This window comes from Homo sapiens, chromosome 2 (genome assembly GCF_000001405.40).
Source record: "Homo sapiens chromosome 2, GRCh38.p14 Primary Assembly".
Classification (NCBI taxonomy): Eukaryota; Metazoa; Chordata; class Mammalia; order Primates; family Hominidae; genus Homo; species Homo sapiens.
This window is the reverse complement of record NC_000002.12, coordinates 207,695,551-207,714,365: the sequence shown is the minus strand read 5'-3', so window position 1 is coordinate 207,714,365 and position 18,815 is coordinate 207,695,551. Positions and strand designations below refer to the sequence as shown.

The 18,815-nt window shown below is 46.5% G+C and overlaps 1 protein-coding gene across 3 annotated transcripts in view, besides 7 other annotated features; it reads right to left on the bottom strand.

The window, feature by feature from the left end:
* CCNYL1 (cyclin Y like 1) overlaps positions 1–2,726 on the bottom strand; it is a 44,535-nt gene extending 41,809 nt beyond the window's left edge. For 2 of the 3 annotated variants that reach the window (NM_001330218.2, NM_001142300.2), the window contains exon 1: positions 2,250–2,726. In NM_001330218.2, the coding sequence (NP_001317147.1) occupies positions 2,250–2,469 (220 nt within the window). In that variant the 5' untranslated portion in view covers positions 2,470–2,726. The remainder of the gene's footprint in view (positions 1–2,249) is intronic. The other variant, NM_152523.3, reaches the window with a different exon arrangement.
* Positions 1,903–2,062: a silencer, noted in NCBI's record as "fragment chr2:208577028-208577187 (GRCh37/hg19 assembly coordinates)". NCBI's record gives its function as "represses an EF-1alpha promoter that drives an FKBP-Casp9 reporter gene in an ReSE screen in phorbol 12-myristate 13-acetate-treated (for megakaryocytic differentiation) K562 erythroleukemia cells {active_cell/tissue: K562(+PMA)}" and the evidence as "EXISTENCE:reporter gene assay evidence [ECO:0000049][PMID:32094911]".
* Positions 1,903–3,054: a biological region, named in NCBI's record as "H3K27ac-H3K4me1 hESC enhancer GRCh37_chr2:208576168-208577164".
* Positions 1,926–2,922: an enhancer, noted in NCBI's record as "H3K27ac-H3K4me1 hESC enhancer chr2:208576168-208577164 (GRCh37/hg19 assembly coordinates)". NCBI's record gives its function as "activates a minimal SCP1, AML or CMV promoter by ChIP-STARR-seq in primed H9 embryonic stem cells {active_cell/tissue: H9 hESC(primed)}" and the evidence as "EXISTENCE:reporter gene assay evidence [ECO:0000049][PMID:30033119]".
* Positions 2,075–2,184: a silencer, noted in NCBI's record as "silent region_12283". NCBI's record gives its function as "represses an Ori minimal core promoter by ATAC-STARR-seq in GM12878 lymphoblastoid cells {active_cell/tissue: GM12878}" and the evidence as "EXISTENCE:reporter gene assay evidence [ECO:0000049][PMID:35858748]".
* Positions 2,605–3,054: a silencer, noted in NCBI's record as "silent region_12282". NCBI's record gives its function as "represses an Ori minimal core promoter by ATAC-STARR-seq in GM12878 lymphoblastoid cells {active_cell/tissue: GM12878}" and the evidence as "EXISTENCE:reporter gene assay evidence [ECO:0000049][PMID:35858748]".
* Positions 3,275–3,324: an enhancer, noted in NCBI's record as "active region_17044". NCBI's record gives its function as "activates an Ori minimal core promoter by ATAC-STARR-seq in GM12878 lymphoblastoid cells {active_cell/tissue: GM12878}" and the evidence as "EXISTENCE:reporter gene assay evidence [ECO:0000049][PMID:35858748]".
* Positions 3,335–3,534: an enhancer, noted in NCBI's record as "active region_17043". NCBI's record gives its function as "activates an Ori minimal core promoter by ATAC-STARR-seq in GM12878 lymphoblastoid cells {active_cell/tissue: GM12878}" and the evidence as "EXISTENCE:reporter gene assay evidence [ECO:0000049][PMID:35858748]".

The following is an 18,815-nucleotide window of genomic DNA, read 5'->3' as shown; positions in this document are numbered from 1 at the left end:
GGTCAACACAGTGAGACTCTTTCTCTTAAAAAAAAAAAAAAAAAAAAAAAAAAGAGATGTAAGTGTTGCCTCTGAATCGTGTAAAATAAACTTTGAAAGGAACTAATCAAGACCGAAGTAAGTTCTCAAAAACAGGACTATTTTATGGGTAAAATACATGATGCATTCTGGATTTTTAAAAGTTTTTTAAGAACTGAACTTGGTATATCTCACCTCCATGTCAGTCTGAGAACTGAGAACCTTAGTTCTGCTCAGTGGCTGTCTTACATAGTCATTCTACATACCTAACTCTTTATTTCTTCATTAGCAACACGGGGAATATAAACAGGCCTTATTTTGGAAGGGCTAAATTACATGTACATGAAAGTATGTATTTTCATGTACACTGGGTGGGAGCCTTATTTGGGGCTCTCACCCAACACCACCCACCCATCTACTAACTGGTGTGTAAAATCACTCAGAGGCTTACCTGACACCACTAAGAGAGCATTAAGTTTTCACAAGCACTTACATGCTTTGTGTATAAAGGTACAATCAATTAACTCACATAATATATTTGTTCATTCTTTCACAATGTCTGAATATTCCGAAAGGTAAGTAAAGTAGTTCCTAGTTACAAAGGCATGTCCATCATGAAGCTTAATTATTATTTTAAAGAAATTAAGAGTCCAAGCAAAGTTTAAATATAAGAGTTCTAACACATTTCTTCTATAGTAATGAAATCTCTGGCATTTATACGAAACAAATGAGCCCACTGGATTTAAACATCTTTATGATACAATGTTTTTCTACTTCAAAAGAATTAGTTTTTATTCAAGAATCACGCTGCTACCCAGAATTATTTTTACCTAGACTTATCTCTTTCCAAAATTCTAAAGGCAAAAAACTAAACGTTTCCTCTCCCCTCACCCCTACCTCAACGGTTTAGAGTCTGACGAACCCCAACATTCTCATCTTTGACCAGGATTCTATTGGCAGGATTGGGAGGAAGGAAGGGGAACCACGGAAACAAATACTCTTGAGCAGGCAGGGTCTAGCATTTTAACTTCCAAACCATTACATTATAAATTAAGTCTAAATTTATACTTTGTCTCTTTTGAAACTTCTAACCATGAACCACCCCACCTCTCTTTTAGAACAAGGAGGTATTGAAGTCTGTTAAGTCACCGGAGAATGGCTGGAGATGTATTTGCCACCGTGGGAATTTTAAAGTAATCAGAACTCCGTGGCTAAACTCCTTTGAGTTAACAACCTCTGGGCGCGGTGGCTCACGCCTGTAATCCCAGCACTTTGGGAGGCCGAGGCGGGCGGATCAAGAACTCTGGAGTTAGAGACCAGCCTGACCAACATGGTGAAACCCCGTCTCTACTAAAAATTCAAAAATTAGCTGGGCGTGGTGGCGCACGCCTGTAATCCCAGCTACTCGGGAGGCTGAGGCAGAGGAATCGCTTGAAACCGAGAGGCGGAGGTTGCAGCGAGCCGAGATCGCGCCACTGCACTCCAGCCTGGGCGGGCGACAAAACGAGATTCCGTCTCAAAAAAACAACTTGTCTGCACCCCTGGTAATAACCTCTCACACCCTTCACAGTCATTTTACGCCCCTCCCCCCATTTTCTTTCTTTCTGTGTTCAAATTATAGTTGGAAGGAATAAAGCAGCTTCTTTCACGCCGACTTAACCTATTAGGAATACCATATAGTGTCTCCTATGGCAACCTCTATTTTGAGTCTAGATAAGAAATCCTCAAACATCTGGGTCTAAACTGTCGCGGGCATCAGCTATCTTCACGGATGGGAGGAAGGAACAATCAGACCCTTACCTGGTTCCTTCACTTAGGTACCATCTGGATGGGTTAAGGGAGGGAATGGGATGAGTACTCCGAAGTTGAGGTATTTGAGTTTCCATTGAGAAAAGGAAAACAATATACCCCAAAAGTCTTAGCAAAGTCCCACCAGACAATGAACAGAGCTACAAACAAGAAGGGCGGCGGACTAGAGGGTCCCACGCCGGCTTGGGAGAATGGGAAGCGGGAGCAAGAACTGGGCGTTACGGTAAGGAGGAGGAAAAGAAACTGGCCAGACGCAGCAGGGCAAGAATAAGGGGTGGGGACGCGAGGCAGAACCAGCCTTCGTCCCGGGGCCGGCTACCGGCAGGAAGGAGCCCGAGGCGGCGGATGCCTCCCGGGGGACTCTGGGGGAGGAGGCGGGCAGAGGTGAGCCCGAGGGCGGATGGCATCCGCCGCCTCCTTACCTTCGGGCATCTCGCGGTCGCTGATGTGCTGCAGGTGGTGGCCCTCGCCCTCTCCGAAATCCAACTCGGCAGGCTCCACCACAGCGGGCGCTACCGCCACCGCGTCCCCGGACACCGCCTCGTAGATGTCGGACGCGCAGTACAGCTCCGCCGACCCCGCGCGCCGGCCCAGCTTGGGGCTGGCATTGGGGGACACGCAACAGGTCAGCGTGTTCCCCATGGGAAGCCTCCGCTCCTCTCTGCCACCGCCTTCGCTCGCCCCCTACTCCGCCGCCCTCAACAGCCGCCCCCTCCCCCAACAATGGCGCGGCCGGCACCGGCAGCCCCGGGCTACGCTGGGGCTGCACCGCGCAAGCAGACGCCGCCTCGCCCGCGGTTCGCCCGCCCGCCCCGCGGCCCGGCCCCGGGCAGGGCTCGGGCCTCGGCCGCACCCCCACCGCCGCGCTGCCGCCGCCTCCCTTAAGCTGACTCGTCTGCGAGGGCGGTGACCAGCCCGGCTTATTTAAAAGGGGTGGGGAACCCAACAAGCGCTGTGAAGCACAGCCACTGCCGGGAGAGAGCGCGGCTGGAGCTCCTCCTCCTTCCGCCGCCGCCTACCGACTGAAGGCCGCTGGCCCTGGCCGGTGCCTGCCAACCGGAACGCGACCTGCGGTCACCTGGTTAGGAGGAACCAATCATGGTCAGAGTTCCCCCTCCGGCGCCCGCCTCGAAGCCAGGCACGTGACCTGCTGCCCCGCCCCCGCCTGGCAGCTGCCCAGCCCCTCACGCCGCTATCCCAGACTCGGGTTTTCATTCATCGCTGGCTGCTGGGAGCTTTCCGGTCCTACTGGAAGCGCACGGGCATTTGTAACTGGAAGCTGTGTCAATGATCTCTGTAGAAAGCCGTTATTAGTAAAGAGTTCGCTCCATTAGCAACTCTTCTTCCGAGTCTGACAGCTTTCGTTTGCTCACTAAACTTGGTTACACCCAAATTGTTAACTGTTTTTGTAACTCAGTGCTCCGCTCCTGTCTTCCAATGAGCGTTAGTTTTCACCTGCAACGTGATCATAGCAACCCTGGGGCCCTGGTCCTACTCTCCATAAAGAGTTGTGGCTGTGGGTCTTGAATGAGACTCGAGGACACGTCACCCTTCCACTTCCTCATCCATAAAATAGGGACCTAACTCGTCCCTGCCAACTCTGAAATGCTGGGACTCGCCAACTCCCTTTTCTTGCCTGTTTCTCTCCTCTAGGCAGGGACTTCCAGGTTTCTCTTCTTGTACTAAAAACAGCACAGAAAGCACGATTTTCTCACGCAAAACTGAGAACCATGCAGTGGGGCACCACAGTCTTGATTCCATGAAGATGAATAGTTACCATTTGGCAAGCACTATGTGCCAGACAGTGTTCCAACTGTGGTATATTTATTTAACCCTTAAAAACAATCCCGGCCGGGCGCGGTGGCTCATGCCTGTAATCCCAACACTTTGGGAGGCCGAGGCGGGCGGATCACCAGGTCAGGAGATCCAGACCATCCTGGCTAACACGGTGAAATCCCGTCTCTACTAAAAATACAAAAAATTAGCCGGGCATGGTGGCACGCGCCCGTATTCCCAGCTACTCGGGAGGCTGAGGCAGGAGAATCACTTGAACCCGGGAGGCAGAGGTTGCCGTAAGCCGAGATCGCGCCATTGCACTCCAGCCTGGGCGACCTAGGCTCCGTTTCAAAAAAATAAAACATAAAAATAAAAATAAATAAACAAATATATATATATACACACAATGTCACTTCCTCCCTAAGCTTGATTTCTACCTTTATTTTCTGATCATCATGATCAGGGACCCTCACCCTGAGCAGTCATGTAAGCTTGCGGAAGTAACTTAACTTCTGCGTCCCAATTTCTTCTATAAAACCTGCAAAATGGGATTGTTTTTTTTTTGTTTTTTTTTTTTTGAGACGGAGTTTTGCTCTTGTTGGGCGCGGTGGCTCACGTCTGTAATCCCAGCACTTAGAGAGGCAGAGGCGGGTGAATTGCTTGAGGTCAGGAGTTCAAGACCAGCCTGACCAACATGGAGAAACCCCGTCTCTACTAAAAACACAAAAATTAGCCAGGCATGGTGGCGTCCACCCATAGTCCCAGCTACTAGGGAGGCTGAGGCAGGAGAATCTCCTGAACCTGGGAGGCAGAGATTGCAGTGAGCCAAGATCAGTCCACTGCACTCCAGCCTGGGCGACAGAGCAAGACTCCGTCTCAAAGAAAAAAAAAATTGTCTGAAACCCTAGGAATGTCATTAGATACCATTTTGGATGATTCTTGTAGACTTGAGACGATGCCTATTTTAAGGTACAAAATAATGCCTGCATTTAACAACAGACATACACAAAAATAGATATCTACGACCTTGAAAACTGAAGAATTTAAAACTTGCTAACCAGGAAGATATTGGGAAGCATTGTTACGGAAATAGATTTTAAAACATTTTGAATGAAGGGAATATTAGAGAGAATTAAGAAAAAAAAATTCTGTAACAGTGGCAAGCCTGGGAGAGCAAAGGGAAGCAAGTAGGAGGAATGTGCTTTGAATTAAGCAAGAGTTTGATTCTGTGAAAGAAGCTGAGACTTTATATAGGTCCAGAGTTAACTCATACGTTCACTATCCATTCAATACCTGAGCTCTTAGCACATGTCACATACTTTTTAAGTGCTGGGGATGTTGCTTTCACCAAGATAAAAAAAGGCTCCTGTTCCTGCAAAACTTCCAGTAAGGGAGTCAACAGACAACATTGGCCATCACCTCCACCTTCATGGCCTAGGATGGCTATTGATCTCCAGCTATTGGGTCTTCATTCCAGACAGCAGGGTGGAGGAAGGAAAAAGAAAGAAAAAATTTGGGGGCCGGGCATGGTGGCTCACACCTGTAATCCCAGCACTTTGGGAGGTTGAGCGGGGGGTGGATCACCTGAGGTCAGGAGATCGAGACCAGCCTGGCCAACGTGGCAAAACCCTGTCTCCATTAAAAACACAAAAAAAAAGGCTGGGCACGGTGGCTCACACCTGTAATCCCAGCATTTTGGGAGGTCCGAGGCAAGCGGATCATGAGGTCAGGAGTTCAAGACCAGCCTGGCAAACATGATCAAACCTTGTCTGTACTAAAAATACAAAAATTAGCTGGGCATGGTGGTGCCTGCCTATAATTCCAGCTACTCAGGAGGCTGAGGCAGGAGAATTGCTTGAACCAGGACCATGGAGGCGGAGGATGCAGTGAGCCAAGATCACACCTCTGCACTCTAGCCTGGGCTGCATAGCAAAACTCCGTCTCCAAAAAAAATGCAAAAAAATTAGCCGGACATGGTGGCAGCTGTAGTCCCAGCTACTCGGGAGGCTGAGGCAGGAGAATCACTTGAACCCAGGAGGTGGAAGTTGCAGCAAGCCAAGATGGTGCCACTGCACTCCAGCCTGGGTGACAGAGTGAGACTCTGTCTCAAAAAAAAAAAAAAAAAAGAGAAAAGAAAGAAAAAATTTTGGAAGGCCCATATAGCACAGTGCTTACAAATCATTGGCTTAAAGCTTAGTCACATAGCCATACCTAGCTGCAGGGAAGGCTCAAAAAAAAAAAACAATAGTCATATAGCTAGGGTGACTAATACAAAAGGAAGAAACGGATATTGGAAGGCAACTAGCACTCTCTGCCACATTCTGTAAGGAAAAATTAAGGAAGTTTCTGTTTAAAACCAGAATAACAACAGGCCTGGCATGGTGGCTCATGCCTGTAATCCCAGCTCTTTGGGAGGCCAAGGCGGGTGGATCACAAGGTCAAGAGTTTGAGACCAGCTTGGCCAGCATGGTGATATCCCGTCTCTATTAAAAATACAAAAAAATTAGCTGAGCATGGTGGCACGTGCCTGTAGTCCCAGCTACTTGGGAGGCTGAGGCAGGAGAATTGCTTGAGCCCAGGAGGCGGAGGTTGCAATAAGCCAAGATCACACCATTGCACTCCAGCCTGGGCAACAGAGAGAGACTCCGTCTCAAAAAAAAAAAAAAAAAAAAAAAAAAGCGAGAAAGAATAATAGCAATAAAATTTCATAGCCCTTTGCAAGAGTATGTGAAAAACAAGGAATTTGTAATGATCTTTTCTTAAGCTAAGAAGACAGAAAAAGTACAGAGAGGATTAAACTATAGAATGAGACTTTAGGTTAGATGCAAGAACAATTTTATGACAGTCAAGAGATCAGGAATATACAGTTTATTGTGTGTGTGTTGTGACTAATTGGTTCCATCTCAGGTATCATAACTAGTTGTTCTAATATAATAGGATTTTGTGTGTAAGTCATATATACATTTTTTTTCTCAGCAGAGGGTCTATAGTTTTCATCATACCCTCAAAGGTAGCTCTTGGCAAAAATTTTAAGAATTACTGTTATGCCTAATATGATGTGGAACAGCTCAACTTCTCTCATTCCTGATTTCAAAAAATTCCAATCTGGATTTTTCAGTAAATTCGTCATACGATGGTGCTGGTACCTCTAATTTAGTAAACTGCCCTTCTTCCACTTATCTCTTCACTTATCTCTTTTCACTCCTTCTGAACTATTCCCCTGCCTTCTCTCTTCTACACCATGTAGATTTGTTTCTGCCAAGTGAGTCAGTTGAGATGAGAAAGCTAATTTATGAGAAATGATGCTCTGAAAAAAAAAACGAGAAGGGTGTTAGTTTGCCATATCACCAGGGCAGATAATGCTCATTGGACAGGTCAGTTCTTGCCCCAAATTTTCACTGTGATTACAGTTCCAAACATCAGGGTATTTTATGAGACAAATTCTAGGAAGGGCTTGCAGTTTTAAGAGAGACTAGGAGCTTCCTTTTGCCTTCCTGGGCTCTTTTCTCCTCCTTATAAACTGGTGTATTTGCTTCCAGTTTCATTTGCCTAGGTGCTGCAAAAGGTCTAAAATCTTACCCAGCCTTTTCAGCCCACTGCTAGACTTCCTCAGATCACCTCCTAGTGGGGGTGGAAGATCCTTTTTTTTTTTTTTTCCGGAAGTGTCTGTTCAGGCTCCTGGTTTTCTAAGCAAATGCCTGCTCCACTCCCAGTTCCAATGACTATAACAACATGTTGTTTGCAGTTACTTAGTTTTATAAGAGAGCTGCCATCTACACTTGCTCAGGAAATAAACTTACTACAAAATTAATCTGGGAACAACACAAGTATAAATAAATAAACTAGCCAGGTCTGGTGGCTCATGCCTGTAATCCCAGCACTTTGAGAGGCCGAGGCGGCGGACCACCTGAGGTCAGGAGTTTGAGACCAGCCTGGCCATCATGGAGAAACCCCATCTCTACTAAAAATACAGAAATTACCTGGACATGGTGGTAGACGCCTGTAATTCCAGCTGAGGCAGGAGAATCTCTTGAACTCGGGAGGCGGAGTTCAAGTGAGCCAAGATAGCGCCACTGCACTTTAGCCTGGGGGACAGAGCAAAAATTTTTTTTTTTTGAGACAGGGTTTTGCTCTTGTTGCCCAGACTGGAGTGCAATGGCACGATCTCGGCTCACTGCAACCTCCGCCTCCCAGGTTCAAGCGATTCTCCTGCCTCAGCCTCCTGAGTAGCTGGGATTACAGGCATGTGCCACCATACCCGGCTAATTTTTTGTATTTTTTTAGTAGAGACGGGGTTTCACCATGTTGGCCAGGCTGGTCTCGAACCCCTGACCTCAGGTGATCCACCCACCTCAGCCTCCCAAAGTGCTGGGATTATAGGCGTGAGCCACTACACCCGGCCAGCTGGAACCATTTTCTTGCAATGGCTTAACACATTCCCACCAGGTTATTCTAGTAGCCTTTTTGACAGGTACCTTCTCAAATCAAGCTGACATTAGAAAGACAAAACTGGAGGAGGAGGAGGAATTGCATTAAACTTGACAGCAGGGAAAAGTTTGAGGAAGTCTTTTGAACCAGATTTGTCCCCTAGAAACAAAGCTCATAGATTTTAGGACGTCATCTTTTTCTCATGATGGCTCTATTGCCCTATTGTTAAGACAACTCTATTTTTATCCTCACAGCATGCAGTCTACCCTTAAGTACCTCTAGAAATTTTCTATCAGAAGGGATTAGGACAGCAATCTGGATGGATATAGGGCCCAGGAAACTAGTCTTAAGCGATATGTTTGTATAGAAAGCACATTAAAACAAATGAACAAACAAAATACCTACTTAGATTGAATTTTATTGGGAATAGGTCCTTGTCTCCTGTGCTGAGCAGACCTTGCTTCTATAGGGTGCTTGTTTGATGAGTCTACATTGAATAATGCCACACACTCCATGAGCTGTTTCTTTTCAACACACAGATGAAATAGAATACATTTTTTTTTTTGGATGGAGTCTCACTCTGTCGCCCAGGCTGGAGTACAATGGCACAATCTTGGCTCATTGCAACCTCCGCCTCCTGGGTTCAAGCAATTCTCTTGCCTCAGCCTCCCGAGTAGCTGGGACTACAGGTGTGTGCCACCACGCCCAGCTAACTTTTTTGTACTTTTTAGTAGAGATGGGGTTTCACCATATTGGTCAGGCTCGTCTCGAACTCCTGACCTCAATTGATCCACGCACCTCTGCCTCCCAAAGTGCTGGAATTACAGGCATGAGCCACCGCACCCGGCCATGAATGCTCTTATTAAAAAAAAATTCTGCCCAGCACTTTGGGAGGCCGAGGCGGGCGGATCACAAGGTCAGGAGATCGAGACCATCCTGGCTAACACGGTGAAACCCCGTCTCTACTAAAAAGTACAAAAAATTAGCTGGGCGCAGTGGTGGGCGCCTGTAGTCCCAGCTACTCGGGAGGCTGAGGCAGGAGAATGGCGTGAACCTGGGAGGCGGAGCTTGCAGTGAGCCAAGATCGCGCCACTGCACTCCAGCCTGGGTGACAGAGCGAGACTCTGTCTCAAAAAAAAAAAAAAAAAAAAAAATTCTGGTTATGTAATCAATGCTTTGCTCAGGAAAGAAAAAGAAAAACTCTGAGCTCACAGGAGCAATTGAAGCTAGAGTGTCCAAACTGGACCTGTCCTGTTCTTTGCAGCCATAGTGTTAGCTTCAAGATCTAAAGAGTTGGGAACTCAGTAGCTGCCCTGCTCTGGCCATCTGATAAACCTCTATTCAGTCTTTGAGCCTCAGAGTGCCTATGAATTTCTTTGATTCCCTCAAGGCTGTGAGATTCTGCATCTTCAAAGCAATCAGTTCCTTCTCCAAACCCTTACTATAGAGCAACATTGTATTACAGTGTGTGCTAATTGTTTACTTGTCTGACACCCCCATTAAACTAGGAACTTGCTGAGATCAGAGCTAATTTAGTCATTTTTCAATATCTCCCACACTAACTAGCTTGTAGCACTCTCAACAAATTTTTCCTGAATGAATGGATAAATAGATGAAAAAGTTGAATTGACAGTACTAACAATCACAATTTGAGAATTGTGTGCAATGATTCCTTATTTTGTTCAGTATTTCCTATTCTGTTTTATGCCTCTGCTTCTAGTTTCTGTTCTCCTGTAGCATTTTAAAAAACAACAACCATTGTATAAAGCTCATGAGTTCGGGTCAGGAAATTAGGCAGGCCACTATAGGGACTGTTCATGCCTGCTCCAGGATGACTGGGGCCTCATCTGGAGTGGACGTAACGATTGGACCTGGCTGAGACTGCTCACCTGGGGCCATATGTCTGGAGTGTTAGCTCTAGCTGTCAGTGGGGTTCTTCCACTCTTCTCCAAATCACATCCCCAAGACTGAAAGTTTATGATGACTTGCAAATCAAGTGACTAGCCCGTGAAGGCTGGCACATGTGGGACTGGTTGCACATTCCCTATAGCATGGTAATCTCACAATAGTCAGACTTCTTACAGAATGCAGCTATCTAATCTCAGTGTGTTTCACTTCTCCAGGAAACATTAATCTAAAAACATGGGGCAAGTAGAAGAGGTGTGGTGAGCAACATTCCTTCAAGTGAAGGGGAAAAAAATCTCCAAATCTCAAAACCAGTTTCTTCACTATTGTGAAGTTCATCCAGATCATCAGCTTACAATGGATTATGCTAAAATTACTGTAACCAAATCTAAGTCTTATGCACTATCTGGCATCCAGAGAAGCCCATTTTTCTCCTTGCCTCTGAGTTTTTTAGGAGTTAAAAAGAACGCAGCTTTCTGCAGGTGCTTTCACCTGCATAAGTCTATTTTGCTGTAAGTCTATTTTGTCGCATCAACTTATATTTTCAATATATATTCAACTTACATTTTTTTGAAAACAACACACACACACACATTAAATCAAACTAAAAAGAGTAATAGGGGAAATTTCCTAAAATTTACACATTAAGAACATCATATTTTTCTTTTTTTTGTTTTTTTGAGACGGAGTCTCACTCACCAGCCCAGGCTAGAGTGCAGTGGCACGATCTTGGCTCACTGCAACCACCATCTCCCAGGTTCAAGCGATTCTTCCATCTCAGCCTCTCAAGTAGCAGGGATTACAGGCACCTGCAACCATGCCTGGCTACTTTTTTTTTTTTTTTTGAAATGGAGTCTTGCTCTGTCACCCAGGCTGGAGTGCAGTGGCACAATCCTGGCTCACTGCAACCTTTGCCTTCCAGGTTCAAGCGATTCTCCTGCCTCAGCCTCCCGACTACGTAGCTGGGACTACAGGCACGTGCCACCACGTCTGGCTAATTTTTTGTATTTGAGACAGGGTTTCACCATGTTAGCCAGGATGGTCTGCATCTCCTGACCTCGTGATCTGCCCTCCTCGGCCTCCCAAAGTGCTGGGATTACAGGTGTGAGTCACTGCACCCGGCCATAAAACAAGATTTTAAATGTGATTATTATTGCTACTTTTTTTTTTTTAAGAGTCTCGCTGTGTCACCCAGGCTGGAGTGCAGTGGCACAATCTCAGCTCACTGCAACCTCTACCTCCTGGGTTCAAGCGATTCTCCTGCCTCAGCTTCCCAAGTAGCTGGGACAACAGGCATGTGACACCACGCCAGGCTAATTTTTTGGTATTTTTTTGTAGAGACAGGGTTTCACCATATTGGTCAGGCTGGTCTTGTACTCCTGACCTCAGGTGATCTGCCCGCCTTGGCCTCCCAAAGTGCTGGGATTACAGGAATGAGCCACGGCACGGGCCTATCATTGCTACATTTAACTAGCAATTACCATGTGAATGTGTACTGGGTATTGCTTTACATGATTAACTAATACCCACAAAAATCCCAGGATATGTAATATGAAAGTCCCTCAGGAAACCCTCCACCAAGACCAAAGACCTGCCTAACTCCATCACATAAGAATTTCCCTTCGGCCGGGCGCGGTGGCTCACGCCTGTAATCCCAGCACTTTGGGAGGCCGAGGCGGGCGGATCACGAGGTCAGGAGATCGAGACCATCCCGGCTAAAACGGTGAAACCCCGTCTCTACTAAAAATACAAAAAAATTAGCCGGGCGTAGTGGCGGGCGCCTGTAGTCCCAGCTACTTGGGAGGCTGAGGCAGGAGAATGGCGTGAACCCGGGAGGCGGAGCTTGCAGTGAGCCGAGATCCCGCCACTGCACTCCAGCCTGGGCGACAGAGCGAGACTCCGTCTCAAAAAAAAAAAAAAAAAAAAAAATGGATGGAATGAGCAGACTGTGTGCTATGGCCTGTTTTTGAAGCAAGGTATGCCCAGGTCTGGGTGCCCTTCCCCAGAAGTATCAGGGGAGGAGTCTGCAACATCTGTAAACTCTGCTTAGTCCTCTTTTGGGTAGAAATCATACTCTTCTGGCATTTTATGTTTCTATAAAAGAATAGGGAGAAACCTGCCCCTCAGAGTTCTCAGTGAGGTAGAAGGGCCACAATTAGGTAGCAATTATGATTAGGTATCTATATAGAGGAAAGGAACAAACAGGGTCAGAAAAATAAATATTCCCTATTGATATCCTAACAAGGCCTTGACTGAAAGCAAAACAAACACAGAATGAGCAATGCAGCTTCTGAGGCTCAAGACAATTTGGATAATTAATTATAATTAAGAAATAGTTAATAATGATTTGGATAATTGATGGTCTGCTCCCTTCAGGCTGTGGGCTGGAAGCAGTGCTTAACTCATCCATAATGGAGCCCGAGGCAAAGGAAAAATTACAAATACTTACTGTGTCTTTATCAAAATTATTGCTATCTTGTTCATTGTAAATTTGTATATAATTTTATGTTTTAAAATATTGCATTAGCATATTATTTATGATGAGTACCAATGGTTATGGTTTTGGTGCCCCTTAGGTTTGGTGCCTGTGGCAAGCACCTTACTACTTCACCCTAGTTCAGGCCTGTACTCAGAAGCAATGTGAGCAGTATCTGGATAATGCTTGGCTTGCCCTTGGAGGGGAATAAAAGGAGAACCAAACCCTTGGACTAGTCTCTGACCCTTGGTGTCTTGATATTTCCAAATCGCTGAGATCAAAAGAATAAAATTCCAGCCTAGGCCAGAGACTAGAGGCAATATGTCCTGTAAGTACAATATTACCCCATTTTACAGTTGAAGAACCAGGACAATATGAATGACAGACATGTCCGAGATGACAGATCTAGAAAGTGGCAAGTGAGGGCATGAATCCAGATGGGATGGATTGCACAGGTTATGTCCCCAGCTGCTGGGCTCGGAGACATCCGAGCTGTGACATCCACTCGCTGTGCTTCCCACCATTCCCACTGAAAAGAAAATGAGCGTCTTTTTTCTTTCTTAACCTAACAGCCAGTTAAAAGTATGACAACATATCTTCTATTAACCGTTCATAACTTCTATTGTTTTTTCTCTTACAGAATTTATATTTGCTACAGAGAAATTAGAAAATACACATCAATAAGAGAAAAATAAATCAAAATCTCAAGAGCCAGCCAGGTGCAGTGGTTCACACCTGTAATCCCAGCACTTTGGGAGGCCAAGGCAGGCAGATCACCTAAGGTCAGGAGTTCGAGACCAGCCTCGCCAACACGATGAAACTCTGTCTGTACTAAAAACACAAAAATTAGCCGGACCTGGTAGCGAGTGCCTGTAATCCCAGCCACTTGGGAAGCTGATGCAGGAGAATTGCTTGAAGCCAGGATGCAGAGGTTGCAGTGAGCTGAGATTTTGCCACTGCACTCCAGCCTGTGTGACAGAGCGAGACTCTGTCTCAAAGAAAAAAAAAAAAAAGAGCCACCTGCTATTACTAATTTGTGGCATATTTCACTAAGCTTTATTTGTTTATTTGGTTTTTTCTTTTTTTTCTGAGATAGTCTTCCTCTATCACCCAGACTGGAGTGCAGTGGCGCGATCTTGGCTCACTGCAACCTCCACCTCCTGGGTTCAAGCGATTCTCCTGCCTCAGCCTCCCGAGTAGCTGGGATTACAGGCGCCCGCCACCACATCTGGCTAATTTTTTTGTATTTTTAGCAGAGATGGGGTTTCACCATGTTGGCCAGGCTCATCTTGATCGAACTCCTGACCTTGTGATCTGCCCGCCTCAGCCTCTCAAAGCACTGGGATTACAGGTGTGAGCCACTGCACCCAGCCAGTTTTTTGTTTTTGTTGTTGAGATGGAGTTTCGCTCTTGTTGCCCAGGCTGGAGTGCCATGGCGCAATCTTGGCTCACTACAACCTCCGCCTCCCAGGTTCAAGTGATTCTCCTGCCTCAGCCTCCCAAGTGGCTGGGATTACAGGCATGCAGCACCACACCCAGCTAATTTTGTATTTTTAGTAGAGATGGGGTTTCACCATGTTGGTCATGCTGGTCTTGAACTCCTGACCTCAGGTGATCCGCCCACCTCAGCATCCCAAAGTGCTGGAATATCAGGCATGAGCCACCGTGCCCAGCCTCTAAGCTTTATTTGAATACAAATAAATAATATGTACATGATTTTAAAGTGAAACAACGCTACCCAGGAGGCTTTTGTAATTTGCTTTCTTCACTTGACAATATACCTTGAACATCTTTCTCTGTCATTACTTTTTTGTGGAGTGATTTGTAATGGCTTCCTATGTGTTCATCCATTCCTGAACATTTATCGAGGGCCTGTTACTGTCCAGGCAGGGAGCTAGGTACTGGAGATACATCAGTTCATAAAGAAGTTGGCACTCTGGGGTTGACATTTAAGTAGAAGGAGACCTTCAAAAAAACTAAATGAGGCCGGGTGCGGTGGCTCATGCCTGTAATCCCAGCACTTCGCGAGCCCGAGGTGGGTGGATCACTTGAGGTCGGGAGTTCAAGACCAGCCTGACCAACATGGAGAAACCCCGTTTCTACTAAAAATACAAAATTAGCTGGGTGTGGTGGCACATGCCTGTAATCCCAGCTACTCGGGAGGCTGAGGCAAGAGAATCGCTTGAACCCGGGAGGCGAAGGTTGCTGTGAGCAGAGATCACACCATTGCACTTCAGCCTGGGCAACAAGAGCAAAACTCTGTCTCAAAAAAAAAAAAAAAACAACCCAAAAACAAAAACAAAATTAGCCGGGCATGGTGGAGCATACCTGTAATCCCAGCTACTTGGAAGGCTGAGGCAGGAGAATCCCTTGAACCCGGGAGGCGGAGGTTCAGTGAGCCAAGATTGCACCATTGCCCATTGCACTCAAGCCTGGGCAACAAGAGTGCAACTCTATCTCAAAAAAAAAAAAAAAAAAGAAAAAAAAGAAAAGAAAAACTGAATGAATAAATATATTCGGTTAATAAGGGCACTATTTTATAAAGAATGGTTGGGGAGTCTTCTCCAATCAATAAGGGGCTGTTATAATCTGAATTTTGCCTCCCCCTCTACCCCCCAAAATTTACATGTTGAAGTCCTAACTCCCAGTACCTCAGAACGTGACCATATTTGGAGACAGGATTTTTCAGAGGTAATACAGTTAAAATGGTATCATTAGGGCAGTTCCTAATTCAGTAATGGTGTGTGGTGTCCCTATAAGAAGAGGAAGGTGGCTGGGTGCGGTGGCTCATGCCTGTAATCCCAACACTTTGGGAGGCCGAGGTGGGTGAATCACGAGGTCAGGAGATCGAGACCATCCTGGCTAACACGGTGAAACCTCGTCTCTATTAAAAGCACAAAAAATTAGCCGGGCGCAGTGGCGGGCGCTTGTAGTCCCAGCTACTCGGGAGGCTGAGGCAGGAGAATGGCATGAACCCAGGAGGTGGAGCTTGCAGTGAGCCGAGATCGTGCCACTGCGCTGTAGCCTGGGTGACAGAGTGAAACTCTGTCTCAAAGAAAAAAAAAAAAAGAAGAGGAAGTTTGTGCCAGGCTTGGTGGCTCATGCCTGTAATCCCAGCACTTTGGGAGGCCTAGGCGGGAGAATCACAAGGTCAGGAGTTTGAGACCAGCCTGGCCAACATGGTGAAAACCTGTCTCTGCTAAAAATACAAAAAATTAGCTGGGTGTGGTGGCAGGTGCATCTAATCCCAGCTACTTGGGAGGGTGAGGGAGGAGAATCGCTTGAACCCAGGAGGCACAGGTTGCAGTGAGCCGAGATCGCACCATTGCACTCCAGCCTGGGTGACAGTGCAAGACTCTCTCTCAAAAAAAAAAAAAAAGAAAAAAAGAAGAAGAAGAAGAGGAAGTTTGGACATAGTCATATGGAGGGAAGGCAGTGTGAAGACACAGGGAGGGAATGGTCATCTACAAGCCAAGGAGAGAGGCCCGGAACAGATCCCTTCCTCACGGCCCTCAGAAGAACCCAATCCTGCCAGCACCTTGATGGCAGACTTCTAGCTTCCAGAACTGTGAGAAAATAAATTTGTTTTTTAAGTCACCCATCTGTGGTACTCTGTTATGGCAGCCCAAGCAGACTAACAAGGGGCATAGAAAGCAGCCTGGATGAAGTGAGAGGGTACAAGCTCTATGGGTATCTGGGGAACAGCCCAAAAGTGGAGCCCTAGAGGAAAGCCAAGGGCCCAGGTGCCTGGAAGAGGGGTTGGAGGAGAATGGAAGATGTGGTTAGAAGAGGCAGCAAGGTACCACTAGGTCCTAAAGTGCCTGCAGGCTTTAGAAAGGACTTTAGAGTGTATTCTGGGGGAAATGGGAAGCCACTGGAGAGCCACTGAACCTGACGTATTTTATAGGGGCTCCTTGGCTCCTGCATGAAGCCCAGACTACGTATATCAAAAAGTTTGTAACCTTCATATTAATTATTTAGTAGCACAGTTTGAAGGTTTGGGGCAAGACAGAAAGAAGCGCTTCTAAGGCATTGACCCCAAGTCCAAATCCCTCTTTGTACCCCTGCTATCCCACTTGGCCATCCTACTTCCCAATCTGATAAACTGGATAAGCCATCATTTGAAACCAGCCTGATTTTTTCATGAGTCCTCTCTGCAGGGTGATTCAATGGGACCTCTCTTCCCCTCTTTAAAGTCAACTGGTTGCTCTTCCTTTCCCTTCCTACTTCTGTTCCCTGTCCCTGTGTTGCACACCAGGCTCCTCATCCTCAAGCCTTTCTGGCTCCCTGGTTAGCAACTGCCATCTGCCAGGATTCCAGCGCTCATTCACTCTCCCCTCCCCAACCCCAACTCCCACATTCCTGGCTTCCCCTTAGGGAATGCAGAAATGTAACCCTCCTCTGATATCTGCAAACAAAATTTCAGGGAAGTGGACAATTTTTGCCAGTCAGGTTTGGGAGAAAAGTCATGAGTGCTCTGCCCAGTTTGGAAATGTCCATCAACTCAGTGGTAATGGCTTTGTGGGAAATAACACAGCTCAGAGTTGGACCAAACTTTGACCAGCATGCTCCTCTTGGGAGACTTTGAGATAAGTCTCAAGACCCCTTTTATGATACTCAGGGGTCTTCTCTTACGGAAGGAGCCTGCATCAATAGCTTCCTTTAAGGATGTGTGATGGTTAATATTGAGTGTCAACTTGATTGGATTGGAGGATGCAAAGTATTGTTCCTGGGTGTGTCTGTGAGGGTGTTGCCAAAGGAGATTAACGTTTGAGTCAGTGGGCTGGGAGAGGCAGACAAACCCTCAATTTGTGTGGGCACCATCTAATCAGCTGCCAGCATAAAAGCAGGCACGGAAAGAGCAGACTGGCTGAGTCTTTTAGCTTCCATCTTTCTCCCGTGCTGGATGCTTCTTGCCTTTGAATATCAGACTCTGAGTCCTTCAGCTTTTGGACTCTTGGACTTACACCAGTGGTTTGCCAGGGGCTCTCGGGCTTTCGGCTACAGACTGAAGGCTGCATTATTGGCTTCCCTACTTTTGAGGTTTTGGGACTTGGAGTGGCTTCCTGGCTCCTCAGCTTGCAGACAGCCAATTATGGGACTTCACCTTGTGATCATGTGAGTCAATTCTCCTAATAAACTCCCCTTCACATATTCATTTATCCTATTAGTCGTGTCCCTTTAGAGAACCCTGACTAATACAGGGTGTATGTACTTTTTTTGCTTCCTTCTGCTCAAAGTCTCTCCACATCCTCCCCCAAACTGCCCACCCCAAGGCCAATCAACTCCATCTACATACACTTGTCCTTCCACTCCAGGCTGCTTTTGACAGTTATTCAACAAAAACAAGGGATCAAACTCAGGGCACGTGAATTGGAAAAAATAACAATAAAAAACAAAAAATGCCATTAGTAAGAGCCCAGGTTCTTGGGCCCATCTGCTCACTTGACCACAGAAGAAAGGTGACACTAAAAAGACAGGTAGGGGCTGGATGCGGTGACTCACACCTGTAATCCTAGCACTCATGCCCGTAATCCCAGCACTTCGGGAGGCCGAGGTGGGCGAATCATGAGGTCAGGAGATCGAGACCATCCTGGCCAACATGGTGAAACCCTGTCTCCACTAAAATATAAAAAATTAAGCCAGGCATGGTGGTGCGTGCCTGTAGTCCCAGCTACTCGGGAGGCTGAGGCAGGGGAATTGCTCGAACCTGGGAGGCAGAGGTTGCAGTGAGCCGAGATTGCACCACTGCACTCCAGCCTGGCGACAGAACAAGACTCTGTCTCAAAAAAAAAAGATAGGTAGGGCTGGGCACGGTGGCCCACACCTGTAATGCCAGCACTTGGAGAGGCTGAGGTGGAGGATAGCTTGAGCCCTGGAGGTCAAGGCTGCAGTAAGCAATTATCGTGCCACTGCACTCCAGCCTGGGCGATAGAGCAAGACTCTATCTAAAAAAAGAAATGATAGGCAGTGGTGCCTATCTAATTAAGCTGGACATTTCCAGGAGCAAACATCTTGAGACTGAAAAGGGGACATCAGGAGGCCACTAGCTCTGGGCCTCACTATCACCAAGGGCCTCAGTGCCACCAGGTCACACCCACAGTTAAATAGAAGCACTGGCAGGTTTGAAGAAAGAAGATGGCATCGACCAACTTCAGCTCTCTGTCTCATTACTGTCTCACCTCTCATGAACTATGAACCAATATTTTAAATAAACCCCCTAATAACCCCCCAGTCACTTTGGGAATATAATAATTACACTGAACTGAATGTGTGTGTGCATGTGGATGTTGGAATTGCTTACTTGTTAAATACTGATGTTTAAAATACACGACAAATCTTGTAACCCTATTTTGGCATATCTTTTTCTTCTTCTTTTTGGTTTTTGTTTAATATGGAAGTG